Source organism: Homo sapiens, chromosome 1, assembly GCF_000001405.40.
Source record: "Homo sapiens chromosome 1, GRCh38.p14 Primary Assembly".
Classification (NCBI taxonomy): Eukaryota; Metazoa; Chordata; class Mammalia; order Primates; family Hominidae; genus Homo; species Homo sapiens.
In genome coordinates this window covers 217173207-217193056 of record NC_000001.11, presented here as the reverse complement: position 1 = coordinate 217193056, position 19850 = coordinate 217173207, and the positions used below count along the sequence as shown (strand labels likewise).

Here is a 19850-nt window from a genome sequence, read left to right as displayed (position 1 = left end):
AACACGAAGGACAATGACCAAAACAGATCTGTTGCCCCCCAAAAATTCTAAAGATTTTCTAAATAATTAACTAGACATAAAAGTAATAAAAAAGTATCATGATTATTCAATCAATATAGTACAATTTGAAATGTATATTTAACAACAGAATGAAATCTATAGTTAAAGGACTAGACAATAAGCTCCTTAAGAGAAGTGATCTTATTGTTTATTATCATTATGGTAGTTTTCTTCTTTTCCTCTCAATTTTGCATCCACCACATAGCACAAAACCTGAAGCATAACATTACTCTAATATTTGTTAAAAGTACATTCTGTAAATAAAGCCACTCCAGACACTGTCTCCAGTAAAAATAGTGCCTGCTCCCTGACCTACACTTCAAACCAGGTCATCTGCCTTCAGTTACCTTCCTTAGCAAGTATTTCGTCCTATAACAATCAGGAATTTTATTCTACCAGAGTGGGAAGGAAAATAATCAGTTAAGTTTGGAAAGATGAATGAATCATCATTGGATTTTACTTGATTTCTGTGGCATTTCTATATTCTTCGTCCTGGATTCTTTACCTGATGTTTGACCTCAGCTGCTTGGGTGAACTTATCCATGTAGGTACTTGAAGGGTATTACCTCTTAATTATTTGCTGCCAGGATTTGCATCCACAGTTTTCTATGACCTAGATATGCCTATGTCTTCCATTTTAACTTACCTCTTCAGTGTCTCCTCTCGTTCTCTTTTCCCTTCTCAACCTTATTATGATCTATAATTGTCTTTAGAATCACAGATCATGGCAGAGCATTTCTGGTCTTCTACAACATAATAGCATTGAAAAATGGGGCTCCATTAATATTTATTATTGATATATTCATAGTTTCAGAATACATTACTTGATTATCTTAGTTTGGGTAGACAGAAATACTGGTAGGCTTGTAAATTTTTTAATTAAAAAACTTTATTATTAACTATAGAACTAAGCCCATAAAATGCATAATGGAATTCAGAAAGCATAGAGTCAAATTTGTCAAACAATTTGAATTTTGCACATAAGCTGAGTTTGAATTTAATAAATACTTACATTTACTATTTTAGTGTGTGTGTGTGTGCATGTGTGTGCATGAAGTACTGTTCTAATTTGGAATGTATAGTTCAACGCATCATAGAGTGACCATATATTGTCCAAACTGCGACACTTTTGAGAGTGAAAAGTGCATAGGGAATAATTATACCAGAAAAATAGTCATAAATTGAGATGGTTCTGAGAAAACCAGGATGTCTGGTCACCCTCAAAGAAGTGACTGGGGCTCATTTTAACAGAACTGACAGACTCCTGAAGGTAACCTGCCTGGGAACCTGCAACAGAGAAACTGGTCAGCAGGTGCCCCATATGTAGCCAGATTGTGAGTCATCAGTCTGGGAGAAATTGAGTTTTCAGTTTGGACTTTGGTGGTGTGTTGTAATCTGTTCCCTAGAGATCTGCCAAACTCTAGGTTGAACACATGGATCCTTAGAAATTATCCATCTTGAATCGTTTGGTATAAAAATAGATTTCAGAAGTCCCAGGGCAGATATTACAAGATTTCTATGAAAAAGAAATAAAGAATAGAAGTATAAACGTACAGGAATGGTGAAGCAAGGAGGATAATGGATGTTAGAAATACTGGCAAAGAGGGCAAAAATGTGCAGTTAGATAATGATTACATGAATATAAATATGGAATATTTATTAAATAGGAAAATTAGGCCCTAAAAGAAGTCTTCTGTCACTGTTTTAATATCTCGGTTTTTGGTCATTTCCAAAACCAGGAGTTGAAGTGGGATCTATGTTACCTTGGAGATATAGTTTGGATGTGTGTTCCTGCCCAAATCTTATATTGAAACGTAATTTCCAATGTTGGAGGTAGGGCCTGTTGGGAGGTGACTGGATGATGGTGGTGAATTTCTCATGAATGGTTTAGTACCATCTCCCTTGGCACTGTCCCTGCAATAGTGAGTGAGTTCTTGTGAGATCTGGTCATTTTAAACTGTGTGACACCTCCCCCCTTGCACTTTTTTGCTCCTTCTTTCACCATGCGACATGCCTGCTCCCCCTTCACCTTCCACCATGATTGTAAGTTTCCTGAGGCCTCCCCAGAAGCTGAGCAGATGCCAGCATCATACTTCCTGTACAGCCTGCAGAACCGTGAGTCAGTTTAACCTCTTTTCTTTATAAATTACCCAGCCTTGGGTATTTCTTTATAGCAATGAGAGAACAGCCTAACACACTTTGAGTTCTTAAAGATATGCACCATCTGTAATTTGCTTGTGTGCACCTAAAACCCCTTAAAAAGCAGATTCTTACATGTATCTTTCTGTCCTGAGTACAGATAGTTTCTTATTCTTGTGGTATAAGGTACTGGGTAGGCCTCCAATATCCCCATTTCCTGGTCTACCTGCCCTGTGTGATCCCCTTCCCATCAGTATGGTTGAGATGTATGAATATGATACGATAATCATTCCCTTGATTGCGTAACATTATTTGACAAAGATAATGGAATAATCACTCCCATAATGAATTTGCCGGAAAAGCTGATTTTTGGTAAAGCTTAGTGTAAAGACCAAATGGGCTTCTTAGGATCTTCTGAATTGAATGAAACCTCCCAGGCACATGCAGTGGCTGGAAAACCACAGGCTAAGATATGATTAAAGTGGAAAGGAGGAGAAATGACACAGTCCCTGCACACAACAAATCCCAGAGCCAAGAGCTTCACTGAACTCACTCACAAACTTTCCCAAATTCACCAATCAGCTAGCTCTTTAAACTCACCCTCTTGGTGAAGGGACAGGCAAAGAGGCAGAAAGGCAACTCTAGGTGAGCTGCCTCTATGTAGGGCACCATGAAGGCAAGGGAAAATATGTTTCTCCCCCTACAGAGAACTGGGGATAAATAGTCATTGTTCTGTTTCGTCTCCCATCAAGTGAAGACATATGTGAGGCTAAATAGAGAAGTCTTTAATAAAGCAAATTTTCAACTCAATAATAAAGCAAACAATCTAATTTTAAAAAGGGAAAAGATTTGAAGACATTTCACCAAAGAAGATATGTAAGTGGCCAATAAGCCATTGAAATATGCTCACATCAATAGTTATGAGGACTAATGTCGTTAGTCTAACTAAGGAAATGAAAACTGAAACCACCATGAAATATCAATACATTCCCTAGAGCAGCTGCGATTAAAAATCTGATAACACCCAGTGTTGATAGACATGTGCAGCATGTGGAAATCTCATATGCTACTGGTTGGATGCAAAATGGCACAGACACTTTGGAAAAGAGTTTGGAAGTTTCTTATAAAGTTAATTATATATTTACCTTACAATTGAACAATTCCACTGCTACATACTTACCTGAGAGGAATAAAAACATATGTCTCACATAAAAAGTTGTAAGTGAATGTTCATAGCAGCTTTATTCATAATAGCCAAAAGCTGGAAAGAATCCAAATGACTATCAACTGGTGAATACCCAAATTGTGGTATATCCATATAATACAGTGCAGACTACAAGTACACACAACAATATATTTGCATTTTAAAAGTATCATACTAAGTGAAAGAAATCCTTTATGAAAGACCACATGTTTTCTCGTATATAAAATTCTCTAATAGGTAAAACTATAGTGACAGAAAACAAGTGAGAGATAGCTAAAAGCCAACATGGGCAAAAACGGTTGACTGAGCACGAGGGAAACTTTCAGGCTGATGGAAATGTTCTATATTTTGAGGATGGGGGTTGCTACATGTTAAATCTCATGAGACTGATACTGTCTAAAGTGAGTAAATTGTATTTTACAAAATTATATTTCAATAAAGCTAATTTTTTAAAAATGCTGTAAAAATGACAATTTTGGTTTTAAGACTATTTAACCCTCAGGATACTGGAAAGTGATGATCAGGACTGCTGCATATGGTTATGTAAATTGTGTGTTTACGTAACTGTTCAGTTAAATGCAGACGCTCACTCAAGAATCCGAGTAGTACCAGCTGTCCACCGGCATGAATCATTTTCCTACTCTTGCCTCACCCAGAACAAGGGGCAGAGACCATCCAAAACCTGAATTGGTAATTAAATTGCCTTATAAGGTTTTAGTTAAGAAATCTTATCCACAAAAGTTCAGAAACTTCAACGAAGTACCAGGTTTTATTAATGTCATATCTAGTAGAAAGGGGACTGGATAAATATTAATACAGGTAGTAGACAACTCCTTGTTTGTCTGCTTCATACCCTTTTACATGGATACCATGTCTCCCCTATGTTGCAATTACCCAGTTCACTCAGCATAACTTAGGTGTGATATTGCTCTGCCCTTGCTCCAGGTCCCAAGGGTGGGCTTATAACCCAGGCCCAGGCAGAGTATTTCATCTCCTTAGCTATGATATTTGATTCATGGAAGGTCATGTGACCCAAGAAGGCCATCAGGAGATTGTGAGGTAAAAAGACTGTATAAAACTGAAGCTCTTGGTAGCTTTCTTTATGTCTCATAGAAAGAGCCAGCCTGGGAATGTAGCCAAGAGCTAAAAGCAAAACTGAGAGATGAAAACAAACAGAGCCCTGACAATACATTTTGGGCATTGGAATCCCACCATGCAGGGACTTTTCAGTTACTGGAGCCAACATATTTATCTTATGTTTAAGCTAGTCTGAGTTAAGTTTCTGTCACGTGTAACCAAGAGTGCCAAATAATACTGAACAAAGGCTATTGGAGACTTTCTATGACAGAACGAAAAGTAAAATATAAAAAGGTTTATTCAAAAATTTTTTTATAGTTAATTTGTTTTTAGATTCTCTTTCTTTCTTTCTTTCTTTCTTTCTTTCTTTCTTTCTTTCCTTCTTTCTTTCTTTCTTTCTTTCTCTTTCTTTTTTTTTGAGACAGTGTCTCATTCTGTCACCCAGGCTTGAGTGCAGTGACGTGATCTTGGCTCACTGCAACCTCCACCTCCCAGGTTCAAGTGATTCTCCAGCCTTAGCCTCCCGAGTAGCTAGGACCACAAGTGTGCACTACCACACCTGGCTAATTTTTGTATTTTTTATAGAGATGGGGTTTGCCACTTTGGCCAGGCTGGTCTTGAACTCTGGAGCTTGAACCAATCCACCCACCTCTGCAGGCTGGTCTTGAACTCTGGAGCTCAAACCAATCCACCTGCCTCAGCCTCCCAAAGTGCTGGGATTACAGGCATGAGCCACCATGCCTGGCCTAGTTTACTCACAATTATAGGTAGCCAATGTATAGAATATTGAAGTCAAGATCCTCACCCTAATCCTAAAATTACCACTGACTTATTTTGTAACAATGAATCAATATCTCAATCTGGCTAGGAGCAGTTGTCTTATATCTAAAATGAGAGCATTGAATTAATCCACTTTGAGCTCTCTAAATTCACAGGGACTCCATGGCTGGCAGAGCTAGAGCCCTAAAGCTGTTAGTGCTAATAACCCTCCTCCAAGCCTTCCCAGTAATGTTATCAACTATTGATAAGCATAGATTTTATTTTATAAGCAGTAGAAAAGTTTTGGGCCTGGGTAGGATAAAAAAAGTGCATGGCAGTAGCAATACTTAGACTTCTTCCTGGGATTTCACAAGCCATGTTAGAGGGAAGGCATAAAACAGAAAAGAGCAGCTGAGTGTGGTGGTACATGCCTGTTGTCCCAGCTACTCAGGAGGCTGAGGCTGGAGAATCACTTGAGGCTGGGAGGTGGAGGTTGCAGTGAGCCAAGATCATGTCACTGCACTCCAGCCTGGGGAAGATACTGCTTGATGACTGCGGGGTGAAGGCTTTTGTGGGAGGTAATCTTCTGGGGACTAAAAAAAAAAAATAACTGAGGTATATTTCATGGGGAGTGAGGAGGAGAGATATTTGTCACAATTAAGCCAGTGGTGGCTCAACTTTAATACAACTTCATTAAAAACACTGAAATATGAAAATATGCTCAACTCCATTCATAATAAAAATGGGAATTAAAATTATGCTGAGATAATATTTTAAACATTTTTATTATTCAATTAAAAATCACTCTTACAGCATATATTTAGGGCATCTTGAGTCTCTATACTCTTAGGTTGCAGGGGAAAAAATCACTCTAGAACCTAGCAGCTTGAAATAACAATGGTTTATTATTTCTCATGATTCTGAGAGTTGATGGGGCTCAGCAGGGTGGTTCATCTGGAGGTGGGAGCTGGGCTACAGTCATCTGGGGATCTGAGTAGGCTGGAGCACTCATGATGGCCCACTCATATGACTGGTGGCTGGTTCTGACTGTCACCTGGCAGTTCATCTGGGACTGTTGACTAGAACACCTTGGTTCTCCACATATCTTCTCCCTATGGGCTGGACTCCTTGTTGTCTCAGCTCCACAGGGGTAAATGTTCCAAGCTTGAGAAAGCAGAAAATGCAGATTTCTTAATACCCTTTTATAACTTCTGAGTTTTGTACTACATGATTGTATTCTTATTAAAAAATAATTGAATACATTTACATTTTCTTAAATCCAAACAATGAGACATAGAAACTCAAATTCTGAGCATGAACTCCAAGAGAAATGTAGATCCCTTATAAAAGGAGACAAAATTAGAAATGTTATTATTGCAGCCCTGTTTGCAACAGTGTAAAAAATGGAACTAACATAAATGTCTACCAAGAATAGATGGCCAATAAATCACAGAGTAGCCATATTATGGAATACTATACAAAAGTTAAAAAACTAAGAGTTATATACTTACTAACATGGTAAGATTTCCAAATGATAGTGTTGCATATTAAAAACTCAGAAAACATATTATGAATTCAGTGTCAAAAATGATTAAAAATAAATATGCATATACAATATGCATACATGTACAAACATAGCATAGAAAAGGATCTGAGAGTTCTAGGGAGCTTCAGTGTCTCTGTGGTTTCCTTTTTACAATAAAAATTACATTTTTATTACATGTATTATTATATATTAATGGAATTAAATTAAAAAGAAAGTCAACTTTTGTCTCAAGATGGTGGATTAGCCATTCTCAAACCATGGCTACTGTGTTTGTCTTCTAAGGCTCACTTTAACCTTATTTTTCTACAAACCTCACCCCACTTGATTGAAACACATGATAGAAAGATATAACAACAGCTAAAGCAAACAGTAGAGTTAAATAGAATGTAGTAATAAGTAACAGGAAGGAAGATTCGAGAAAATGACTAAATAAAAACAAAAGAACACCATCATTTCCAAGACAAAGATACCATGTAGTTTGCTAAAATGCGCTGTAAAAAATAATTATTTTATAGAAAGCAGTGTATGTGATTCAAATCAGTGAAACATGGGCTCATTAGCTGTCCTTCACATATTCTTGAAAAAAATTTAAAGCCCATTTTCCAATAAAGAGGAGATTGATAATGTGCTATAAACTGTCATAAGGAATTCTCACCGAGTTGCAATGGGTGTGAAAAAAAATGTAGCTTATTCTGCATTTACAGGAGCAGTAGAGAGAAGTTTTCCATTTCCTCACGAATTCATTCAAAGACAGGTCCTGAGGCTTCCATGTGAGACGCACACATCCTGCAGAGCCTGTACGAGGAGACAGACTTTCAAACAATTACAGCAAGTGTCTGGGAATATGGCTGATAGACCACTTATCTGGACCTAGGAGAGGCATAAAAGAATGATTAAAAATTACTAATAATATGGTCACATCTAATACTTTGAGTCCTTACTAAGTGCCAGGCACTGTACTGTGAGTTTTACATACATTCACTCTTTGATTCTTCCATAATTCTTATAATGTAGATACCATTGTTATTCTTTCTGGTGAGGATTCTGCTGGTTAATGACTTAAGTAATTCCTTCCAGGTCATGCAGCCAGTCAGTAGTGGAGCCTGGATTCCAGCTCGTGACTGTCTGGACTTCATGCCCTGACTTTTTCCAAGATTTGTACAATATTGCTGGCCAGCTGGCTCTTGATGAATTGGTGAGCTGGCACTATGCTAGTGTGGGGAGGCATAAAAGAAGGTAGTATCTTTGAAGACCTACTGGTGGTTTAACTTGGCTGAAACTCAGGAATGAAAAGTGGCAGGACATGAGGCTGAACACGGAGGCATTGGCTGAGCCATAAATGGGTCATAAGCCAGTAAAGGAATTTAGGTTTTATCATATAAACTATACAAAGATACTGAAATGTCTCTGGGAACAAGTCAAGTCAAATATCGTAATTCTTGTAGCATAGAGTACAAATTATTCTAAAGGTATTAAGAAAGCAGAGAGATCATTTAGGAAGATGTTTCAAAGAGTCTAATCAATACATAAAATGAGCTTGAACCAGTAAGAGTAGAGAGAGATAGTCAGTATGAAAACTGTTCTCTCGAATCCATTTGTTGCCATCCTTCTGAGACAAAAGTAACAGAATCATGCTGAACAAAACTTACCTGTCGAGGCACCAAATGTACTGTGTTATTAACATTCACATTCCAACCCAGTGGCCACAGCCATATGTTGCTATTTCCTACTCGATTTTAATTCCTGGACCACTGACCTCAGTCCCTGAGAAATTCCTGTGTTAACACAGGGCTGAGAGAATGTTGATTTGAGTTGTTAGGATTTCATAGCTCAGAAGAAGATTGAAAGATACAGTGCAGAGTTAATGGATTTTTCAGCAACTTTCTAAATACAATGTATGGCCTTTGCTAAATATCACCTTGTTTGCTAATGTATTAGCCAAGATTCTCCAGAGAAACAGAATCAATGTGATATATATAATAGGAATTGGCTTGCACAATTATGAAGGCTAAGAAGTCCCACAATCTGCTGTCAGCAAGCTGGAGGTCCAGGAAAGCGAGTGACACAGTTTCAGCCCAAGCTCAAGAGCCTGAGAACCAAGAGAGCCAATTGTGTTAAGTCTTGGTCTGAGTTCCAAGTCCCAAGTGCCAGAAGTGCTGATCCAAGGACAGGAGAAGGTGGATGTTCCAGCTCAAGCAGAGAGAGAGAAGAATTCATCCTCTCTGCCTTTCTATTCCATTCTGGAATTCATTGAATTAAATGAAGCCCACCTAAATTAGAGAGGGTCATCTGTTTTATTCAGCCTACTGATTCAAATGCTAATCTCTTCCAGAAACAATCTCACAGACATACTCCAAAATAATGCTTTACCAGCTATCTGGACATCCAGTCAAGCTAACACAAAAAATTAACTATTGCAGCTAATGTGTGAGGTCTTTGTGTTTCATATTTCCCTAGTGTTCCAGGATGAAATCATCCACAGTTCTTGAAGGGAGAAAAAGACAAAATTCAAGTAGGTCAATTTTATTGCATGCTGGAAGCTCTGGTAAAAGAGTTGGTACATGAGGAGATTGAAAAGGTTAGTTAGAGTGAGACTTGGGATTATTGTTGTTTTTCCAGTTATCCATGCTTACACTTTACCCAATGGCCATGGAAAATCAAGACTCAGTTACATTGTCAAGAATCCTCTTGTGAATGGCACACGTCTCATGTAAAAGAGTATTTTATAATAGGGAATTATTTGGGGCTACCTTTTCAAATAGAAGCGTGCTGATATTTTAAATGTGTCCACTTTTCTGTAGTATTGTAGCTACAACACGGCGCTCTTTAGGCAAGTATTTGGGCACTTGAATTTTAAATACTGAAGACAATTTTTACTAAGGAAAACTGTTTTACTAAGGAATTTTACTAAGGAAAATCTTTAAGTTAGCAGAGAAAAAATATTTTTAGAATTATGAATGCTAATAACAATATGAATTGAAAATAATTGCTTTAAGTCCTTCTGTCACAGAAGAGGCGTACTACGCAAAGAGTAAGGGTGTGAACTGGAAGCTGGGAGAGCTGGCTTGATTCCCTTCACCGGCCATCACTGGAGTGCGTCACTTGATATCAAGGATTTCCGTTTATCAACTACGAAGTGATGGTAAAAATGGCTTTCTTTACCACTGGCTTCTGGGGTAGATAAGTGATAGCTAGACTCATGCCAACTACTTGGTAAAATATGAAGATTCCAGTTAACTAATCTTTTTTTTTTTTGACCACCATAACAAAGAGTCAATTGAGTTTTTCCACTAGATTAAATGACTTTCAGTTTTTTTAAATTGAAGGAGTTGGCCAGACATTTTGATTTGAACTGTCCCTTCTTCCCGGACTAATCCTATATCCAATTAAGCCCAAGCCCTGCTGATTTTACTTTCTAAATGTTTCTCATATCTGTCTACTCCTCTCAACACCCATTCCATTTCTCTAGTTCAGAGCTCATTATCTTTTCAACAAATGCTACAGTAGCCTTTTAATCTCCCTGTCTCCATTTTTATTCTGTTTTAAAATTTCCCTCATCTTGCAGGCAGAGTCATTTTCCTAAAAGTCAGCCTGACCATCTGTGGCTTCCCATTTCCTGTGGGCAAAATCCATGCTTCTTAGTCCAGCTTTCAAGAATGTTCTTAGACTGTGTCCCCCTTCTCTCTTCCATTTTTGCTCCCCCTACTATCCATTTTGTATGGCATGCCCTAGTAATAGCAAACCACTTGCAGTTCCTTGCATTTATCAGGGCATTTTATTCCTCTGTGTCCCTCTGCCTGGGACAATCCTACCTTTTTTCACCCAACTTAACATTTCTCGTTACTTAAGGCTTAGCTAGTCATCATCTCCTCCAGAGGCCGTCCCTAAACATTTCATTTGACCTACACTTTCTCCTCTGTTTTCATAGCCTTCTGGGCTTGCCTTTTCCAGTACACTTAACTTTTATATTAACACGGCATTTCCCCCACAAGACTACAAGTTCTTCAGTGTCAGGAACCATATCTCGATCGTCTGTGTCTCTAAAACCCTGGACTGTGGGTGGTTCATGCTAACCTTCAATAATGTCCCTTGCTCTGATTCTTCCTCACTTTTCTATCCTTATTCATTTGCCTCTATAGAAGTTTAATGCTGGAATTAGAGACCATCTGGTCCAATTCTTTTCTCTCTCACTCCATTTACAGAAGAGAAAACTGAAAGTAGGATGTTGTGCCCAAAATCATACAAGCAAATAGTAGCAGAGTCAGATACAGAACCCAGTTCTCCAGAGAACAAGAGTTAAACTACATGAAATAAAAGTTATGGTAAAGTTTTTGGCAGAATGCCTGGCATGTTGTAGGAGCTTAGTATGTGATAGGCCATTTCTGTTCTAAGCCAATTGTCTTTCCATTATACTCCATTGCCTTTCTGCAAGAATAACTCTTCCACTTGCTTTCTTTTTGCTCTTCAGTCCCTTAGGTTGATACAGCTATGGAGATTATAGCTTTCAAAGTGTTTGAGAGGAACCATATTTTATAAATTCAACATTGCTGACTGCTGAAGGTATGCTATTAAAAATGTTAACTCACCAGGACCAGAAACACCCCAATGAGGGTGCAGAGTTTTCCTGTTACATTTAATTAAAAGATCATTTTTATGACAACGTCATATTAGGGGTGATAAAAGGATCGTAAATTGCTTCATGAGGTCACCAAGAAAGTTCCAATGCCCCATTAGTTTTCATTTTCCAGTCCCAAGATATCAACACTTACTTTTATCACAAAGTACATAAAACATACTGACCTTTCTGGTTGCCATACACAAATGTTCCCCAAAATCATATTGAACTTGTTTCACATCTGAAACTTATTACTGCCAAGGGCAGATGTAAAATGCAGCTAATATTTTATATGCTATAAAAGGATGAAGTTCTGGAAAATTACAGATGTTAAGTGCTTTGATCTCTGAAACTTAACATGTCCTTCTGTAAATATAACAGCTTTGACCTCCTGTTTTTGATTATAGAATTACAACCTAAAACATACAGTGGGAAGCCATGTATCAGCAAGAATACGGATAAGCAGGGATGATTATTTAACTGAAGCACATGCTTGTTGTTTAGAATCAAAGGAAAAATTATTTTAATTTTGTTACTTATGGAAATATAGATGTTACCCTACAAAGATGTATTTTATCATTGTAATTAAGAAATGGTTTTGCACAACGTCAAAAAAAGGCTAAACTACTAACCACAATTTTATGAAGAACGTGTCAATTTCCACAGAAGTGACAGAATCTTCTGTGTCTTTGTTACTTTGGTTTGGACATGCCTGCTTAATATTCAGAAAATCACAGTGCAAAGGAATTTCCAGAAGTCAGTTTCTCCAAAGTGGCTTTACAGAGCACTAATTTCTAAAACCTTTATAAAACGATTTTATTAAGACCTTCACTGAAAACCTTGATTTTTTTATCACCTGGTTCGCTCCTCTTTCCAAAGGAAGTGACCAGCCAAAACTGTCTGTATGCAACACAAAGATAAAAATTTCAATTAGGCTCAGTGCTGTCATAAGTGGACCACATGAGAAAGCTTGAGATAATCCACATTACATATTGATGTCTATCAGCTTCGAGACCACAGCCGTGATTCATTCCAGGCCCCTTTTGTAGGTTTGGCAGACACTGCACCCAATAAAGGCCTAATCATATTAATTTATGCCCCTATCAATTATACATTCAGATTCCCCAGATAGCTTGTCAGTTTTTATTCACTATTTTCCAAAAAATACGCCTATTACAGTTACTGTGCAAATAGTAGGACTGTCAGAAATGGAGATTTAAAGAATATTACTTAAAAGAGGTGGGCTTCCTTAATTTATAAATGTTGTATTATGTGTCATACATGTGCTAGTTTTAAAATCAGGGGCAGTGTGAAGATGGATGTCACATGAAGGACTTTCTAGAAAGGGGGAGGGTGAACCTTCTCAATCCTTTTGTGGTGTTTTAATAGTTCTTTAAATCAAACAATCTTTGGTCTATCTGTAAAATATCTCAGATACCATTATTTGAAACATCATTTATTTTTGTCTTTCAAACAAGAATCACCAATTAAATTACTTTACAGGCACTATCTTCATGCTATATTTTGCCATGTGGCTGAAGGTCTTGTGAAGGTGGTCTTCAGAGTATCTGCGTATTATCTTTGGCGATGGTATCAAAGGCTGCTTCAGGCAGGTATAGGGTGCCTCACCATGGTAGGGGAATCCTTGTTCATAAGCAAGGGAGTATCAGGACCCCAGGAACCAGGAGCTATGGGCAATTCTGCAGTAAGGAATAATACCAGTTATAAGGTACTGGGAGTCAGGCAGTGAATTAGCCAGAGCAGGGGGTAAAGTAAACCAAGCCTAGCTCTGTGCCCTTCTGCTTTTTCTTTTTTTCGCCTCCATCTCCCAAATCAGCTGCCCACTTGTGTCCACGCTTGCAGAACTTTGTCCTTCTCTAGCTGACATCTAGTTCTTGATGACATATTTGTGAATCTGCTCAAAGCTGAGCCTTTTCAAGGAGATGTGTAGAGAAGAGCCTCTGTGTGGGTGACCTGAGCAGTCACCTAACTACCACAGGGAGGGCTAGAGGAATTGGACCTGTTTAGAACCTACAGGACAGTAGAAAATCCTTTGTTTATTGAACAAAAACACATAGAGATATACAAAAAAGATGTAGACTCTGATTCATGGAGCCGAGATTCTAGTGGTTGAGTGGTAAAACAACAAATAAAGATAAAATTACAAATTGTGTTCAGGTTATGAAGACTAATATATGATGTTACAAGAAAGCAAAAGAGGAGACCTTTTGATGGGAAGATCCAGGAAGTTTCATTCAAGCTCAGGATTGGGTACGACTCAGCAGGGGGAGAAGAGCAGCTTGAAGACACACGCTACCTCCACTTCTTTCCTAATCCCACAGACTTGATGATAGAAATGTACAACTATAAACCCATAAGGGACAAAAAGAGTTAGAGAAGAAACTGCAGCAGATGTATTGACAAGACACTGGCAGCTGGAAATTCTAGTTGGAACATTGGGTTTCCCTAAAAGCGGAAGATGAAACAAAGCCTTATATGGAAAATGAACCGGGACTGCAGAAGTGAGAAGGTGGGGAATGTGAAACTGGAAGGGGGCTCATGAGCTAGCTGACTCCTATATTGCACAACTGGGTGTCAGATCCCTTGGGGGCTTTCAGAGGAGCCGTGTTGAAGCAACTTGGAGCAGGCTAGAGCATGTGTTCATGACTCCCTCCCCTACCTTTAAAGGGCTGCCTTCAGGAGGATTAAAATCTTTATACCTCTGGGTTGCTTTCAGGCGATGACTTCAGACAAAACTTTGGGATGGCAAAGCAGAGAGAGGCTGAAGTCCATGCTTGATGTGGGAAACAGATCATGCACATGGGACTGTCTACCACTGCACTGAAATCAGCTGGGCAGACAGTTTGTGGCACACAGTGCCTTACAAGTGGTTGCTACAGGCAGGGAATAGAGAAACCAGGATTCCAACTGTCTGCAGCGGACAAAGCTAGTAAGAACAAAGATAGCTCCTATCACAAGCCCCACCACCTTTGAAGGCTGGAGTGTGATGTGGAGTTGATAACAGAAGAATGTCTTGGAAACCTGTACAAGGAGCATTCATTAACCCCACCACACCTGCCCCAGCTCCAGCAATCAGGCAGTTTCTCCTTCCCTTGCCAGAAGAATGGAAGCTTTCCTTCCTAAGGAGCCCAATGTAGACTACTGCTGAAAGTAACTATTATTGATAGTAATTGCTCCTGCTCCCTGGCTATCCATTTTCTCTTTTCTTGCGCAGGTCTCTGAGTAGCTAGACTTTTTCTCTATACATTTTCACTTTCTTATTTTATGTGGTTCTGTTAGTTTTTAGTAAGAAACTTCCTCTGTGCTTGTGAATCTCAAATGAACTTCTGTGTGGATGTCACCAGGAGTTACTGAGCATCATATGAATGTTTCCCAAGTCTTAATCTCTTAATCTTACCCCATGGGAGGAAAAGTCTGCTAAGTTGCCTTTTAGACAGTCATCTTTTCCCATTACCTTCATATTGATGGATAATTCTCAGAGAATTCCATTCTTTAATTGTGTCAAGCTCCTCCCCACTTTGCTGCACCAGCCTTGGTGCCAAACCTGAAGGTGGGGTGGATTACTTCCACAAACATATCATTGAACAGAGCTAGACATATAGCCCCACTTAGATGCAAAGGAGGCTGGGAAATGAGGGCTTCTTATGACCAGAAGGAAAACAAAACAGCAAGTAAACACATAGTATATTCTTTTCGCAGTGACTTTGGTCAATAGCCACTTTCAGTATTCTAGAATCCCAGGAATATTACTCTTCTGCCACCTTACTCCCACCACATTCAATTTGCACTCATCTCTATTTGCACATTGACTTTTAGGAACCAGATTTAAGATATCCAGTGCAGTGCCTGGGAAGTTCTCTGCCTATTGCCAGGAGAATGGAAATTTCCCTGGGGTATATGAGAGGAAGTTGATGAATGCTGGAGTAGACTAGAGGAGACAAGAATTGTTTCATTTGAGAAAAGTGAATGGCACTGGAGCAGACAAATGAATCTGATGCAAGAACTAATCAGAAAATACAAATGAAACAAGCTACAGATGTCCCCTGGAAAACAGAATCACTAAAACTGGTTGAACCAGAAAAAATGGGCTTAATGAGAAAGAGAAAGAAAATGGGGGAAAGGAGGGTAAGGAGATATCTTAGCTCAGGCTGCCATAACATAATACCATAGACTGGGTGACTTAAGCAACAGAATTTATTCCTCACAGTTCCAGAAGTCTGAGACCAGGGCATCAGCATGGTCCTGTCCTGGTGAGGGCCCTCTTCCTGGCTTTCAGATGACTGCTTCCTTGCTGTGTCCCCACATGGAGGGGAGAGGAAGCTCTGGTGTTTCTTCTTCTTGTAAGGACATTAATCCCATCCCAAGGGCTCCACCTTCATGACCTCATCTAAATATAATTGCCTCCCAAATCCCACCCCCTAATACCATCATATTGGAGGTTAGGGCTTCAACATATAAATTTTGGAAGGACACAAATATTCAACCCGTAATAGCCGGTCAGTTGAGAAATAAAATTTGTTAATGAGTGGCTTTTTGGCAAACATGTCAGAAAGGACAGGAAGTAAGTATCAAGGACTTTCCTATTCATTAAAGGATATTTGACGACTTGTTATGAATCAGAAGAGAACAGTTGAAAATGAGTGGCTGGCAAGATACTAATCCAGGGACCTGGGCACTGTTACATCTGAGTCACATCACCAAAAGGGAACTCCTTTAAAAAGAAATTTAACATTGTAAATTCCTTTAAAAGACAGTGAATATTACCTGAGTGTCTAAAAGACATATTTGTTTCCTACTTTAAAATAGTTTTCTATTCTTTTATCATTTTAGTTATACAGATTTCATATAAATTTTAGCTGAACTGAGGTTGTTCAATTATAGTCAGCTCTCAGTTTCCCATAAGAGAAAAATACTCTTCATTTGGCGTTTGAGAATGCTATTTAACAGTTGCTTAAATATCCACTACATGCAAGGTGCCATTCTTGGAATAAACAAAATGAAATCCCTACAGTCACAGAGCTTACTTTGTTTGTTTGTTTTTTTTTTTTTTTTGGAAGGGGGTGGTGGTCATGCACATGAAGCAATAAACAAACTAGAAGAAATCAAGTGATCATAAATATTATAAACAGAATTTACTCAGAGGATGAGATATGAGATAGAGAGTGATCAGGATATAGGAGAAGGCCTGTCTCAGAAGAATACATTTAATCTGAGGCCTCAATGCAAAGGAGGAGCCTGTCATACCAAGATTTGGGGGAAGTGCATTCCAGAATAAGTTCCTGGGAGCTCAAGTACAGCACAGTGACTATAGTTAATAATACTGTATTGGATATTCAAAATTTCCTGAGAGTAGATCTCAAATGTTCTTACCCTACACACACAAAAAGATAACTAGGTAAGGTGATGGATAACTTCATTGTGGTAACCATTCCACAGTATATGTATACACGAAATCATTACATTGTATATCTAAAATGTGTACAATTTTATTTATCAGTTATACCTCAATAAAGCTGGGGAAACAAACATTCCAGACAGAAGAAACATTTCAGGTTCTTTGAACCAAGAAAAAGTTTGTTAACTTACGGAAAGACAAGCATTTTGGCTCAAGACCTAGGGTATAAAAGAGCAGATGGTGGGGGATGTTGGTAATAGGGGAGGCTATGCATGAATAGGAGCAGGGTTTTATGGGAAATCTCTGTACCTTCTGCTCAGTTTTGATGTGAACTTAAAACTGCTGCAGAAAAAAATAAGCCTGCTTAGGCTGGGCACGGTGGCTCATGCCTGTAATCCTAGCACTTTGGGAGGCCGAGGTGAGTGGATCACGAGGTCAGGAGATCGAGACCATCCTGGCTAACACCGTAAAACCCCGTCTCTACTAAAAAACAAAAAATTAGCCGGGCGTGGTGGTGGGCACCTGTAGTCCCAGCTACTCGGGAGGCTGAGGCAGGAGAATGGCGTGAACCTGGGAGGCCGAGCTTGCAGTGAGCTGAGATCGCGCCACTGCACTCCAGCCTGGGTGACAGAGTAAGACTCCGTCTCAAAAATAAATAAATAAATAAATAAATAAATAAATAAATAAATAAATAAATAAAAAATAAGCCTACTTAAAAAGAAAGACAGAGAATAGAATGAGATGATATTAAAAAGAGAGCAGGGGTCAAATCATGCCAAACTTTGAAAGCCAGAGTAAGGATTCAGAATTGTCTTCTAGGTGCAATTTTAATTCTTCCTGGCTGTTCTTTGCATATTCCTCTTTGCAGTGGGCCTTTGTAGTGCAGTGGCTCTCATCAAAAGATACAGCCTATTTCTCCACCTCCTAGAGTCTGGGTAGGCCCAGTGACTTACTTTGGCCCGTGGGACATTAGCAAACATGATGTAAACAAAGGCCTAGGAAGGTTCTTGTGCATTGGGGTTTGCTCTCTGGCTGCTCTTTGGAACTCTGAGTCTGCTGTTGGAAAAAACCTGGTACAGCTTGCTGGAGAATGAGGGATCACATGGAGAAGGGAAGAGACATCTCAGCTAAACCCTCTATGACTTGGCCAACTAAGCAACCACAAGACATAGGAATGAGGCCATCCTGGATCATCCAGCCCCAGCTTAGCACTGGAGAGCAGAATAAATATTCAATAGACCCACAGAATCAGGAATGAAAATAAATGAATGTTACTTCAAGCTACTAAATTTTGAGGTGGCTTGTAATACAACAAAAGCTAACTAATTTGGTGTGATGGAATCCTTTGGAAGATATTAAACAGAGTGGTGACCTTATCTGATTTGCATGTGGGTTTAAAAAAAAATCCCTCCAGCAGCAGCATGGAGAATGGATAGTAAAAGGGCAGTGGAATCAGGGAGACCACTGGAAAGTTAATGAAGAAGTCCAGGTGGGAGATGGAGGGGGCTTGGACAGGTCTGGAAATATTAGTAATAATTGCTGTGATCTCATCCATTTTTAAGGTTTTAAATATCATGCATTTGCCAATGACTCCAAAATGTATTAACGTATGTCCAACTTGGACCTCACCCATTATTCCTAATTCATACACTCAAGTGTTCCTTCTGGACATCTTCACTGTGATGTATACTTGGAATTCCCAATTTAACAGAATTTGTGATTCTTACTGATTCAGTCTGTCAAAAAGATATCAAGTATGTTCTTCCCATAGTCTTTCCATTCTCAGTCACTGAACATTCCAAACGTTCAGTTGCTCAAGCCAAACATCTTGCAGTCATCCTTGATGTCTTTCTCTCACACTCTACATTCAATCCATCAACAAATCTCATTGGCTTGACCACCAAAAGATATGGCATTACTACCCTGACCCAAGCCACCATCATCTCCCATCTGGAGAACTGTATAGCCTCTTAACTACATAGCCTCTCTGCTTGTTTTCCACCATTGCCAACTGGATTCATTTTCTATTGCTCTGTAAAAAATTGTTACATATACAGTGGCTTCAAAGAACATAAATTTATTATTTATTATATTTATTTGTTTATAATTTATTATTAAAACAACAAATTATTTTCTTACAGTTTCTATGGGTCAGGAGTCTGAGTACAAGTTAGCTGGTCTTCTCAGTATTTCATCAGGCTGATTTCAAGGTGTCAGTATAGCTGCAATCTCATCTGAGGCTCATAGTACTCTTTCAAGCACACAGGTTGTTGGCAGCATTCAGTTCTTTACAGTTGTGGGACTAAGGTCCTTGTTTTTTAGTAGCTGTCAGTGGCCAGGGACTACTCGCAGCTCCTAGAGGCTGCCTGCAGCTCTTTCCCATGTGGGCCTCATAGACATGTCACAACATGGCTCTGCTTTCTTCCAGGCCAGCAGGGGTGCACCTGCTGCAGCTGCTTTTCTTTTAAAGGGCCTATCTGATTAGGCCAAGGTAACTAATTAATAACTGGATCACAGGTTCTACCCACCCTCAAGGCGAGGGAATTATACAGGGGGCAGGGTTCTTGGGGACCACCTAGAATCTTGTCTACCACACTCACTTTGTTTTTCCATTGTGAATTCACCAACTTAACTGGGTTCTCCAAAGAGCAGGTAGAACAATCCTGCTTTTGTGTTTTAAAAAGTGAGATCATGTCAATCTTCAGCTCAGAACATTCCAATAGTGTTTCATCTCTGTGATAGAAAAAAATGCAGTCTTTATCTGGGTCTATAAGGCCCTAAGAGAGGTGGCTCTCCGCTGCTCATCTGCCCTTATCCCCTACAGTTCATTCACCCCCTTGCTCAAGTCATGCCAGATATCTTGGCTTCTTCTTGGTCCTTAAACACACCCAGAATGTTCCCATCTCAGGGTTTCTGCACTTGCCAATGCTTTTGTCTTAAATACACTCCTTCTGGATATTGGCATACCTCACCCACCCACAGATCAACAAATTCTCTCATCTTATTAAATAGGCATTCAGTAAACGCCCTGTGT

The 19850-nt window shown here is 39.1% G+C and overlaps 1 long non-coding RNA gene across 1 annotated transcript; it reads left to right on the top strand.

The window, feature by feature from the left end:
• Window positions 1–2138: 2138 nt before the first annotated feature.
• On the top strand, window positions 2139–13219 carry LOC105372920 (uncharacterized). Its single transcript, XR_922600.2, has 4 exons — window positions 2139–2175; window positions 9796–9927; window positions 11254–11345; window positions 12904–13219. It is a non-coding gene; the product is annotated as an uncharacterized LOC105372920 (long non-coding RNA).
• The last annotated feature ends 6631 nt before the right edge of the window (window positions 13220–19850 follow it).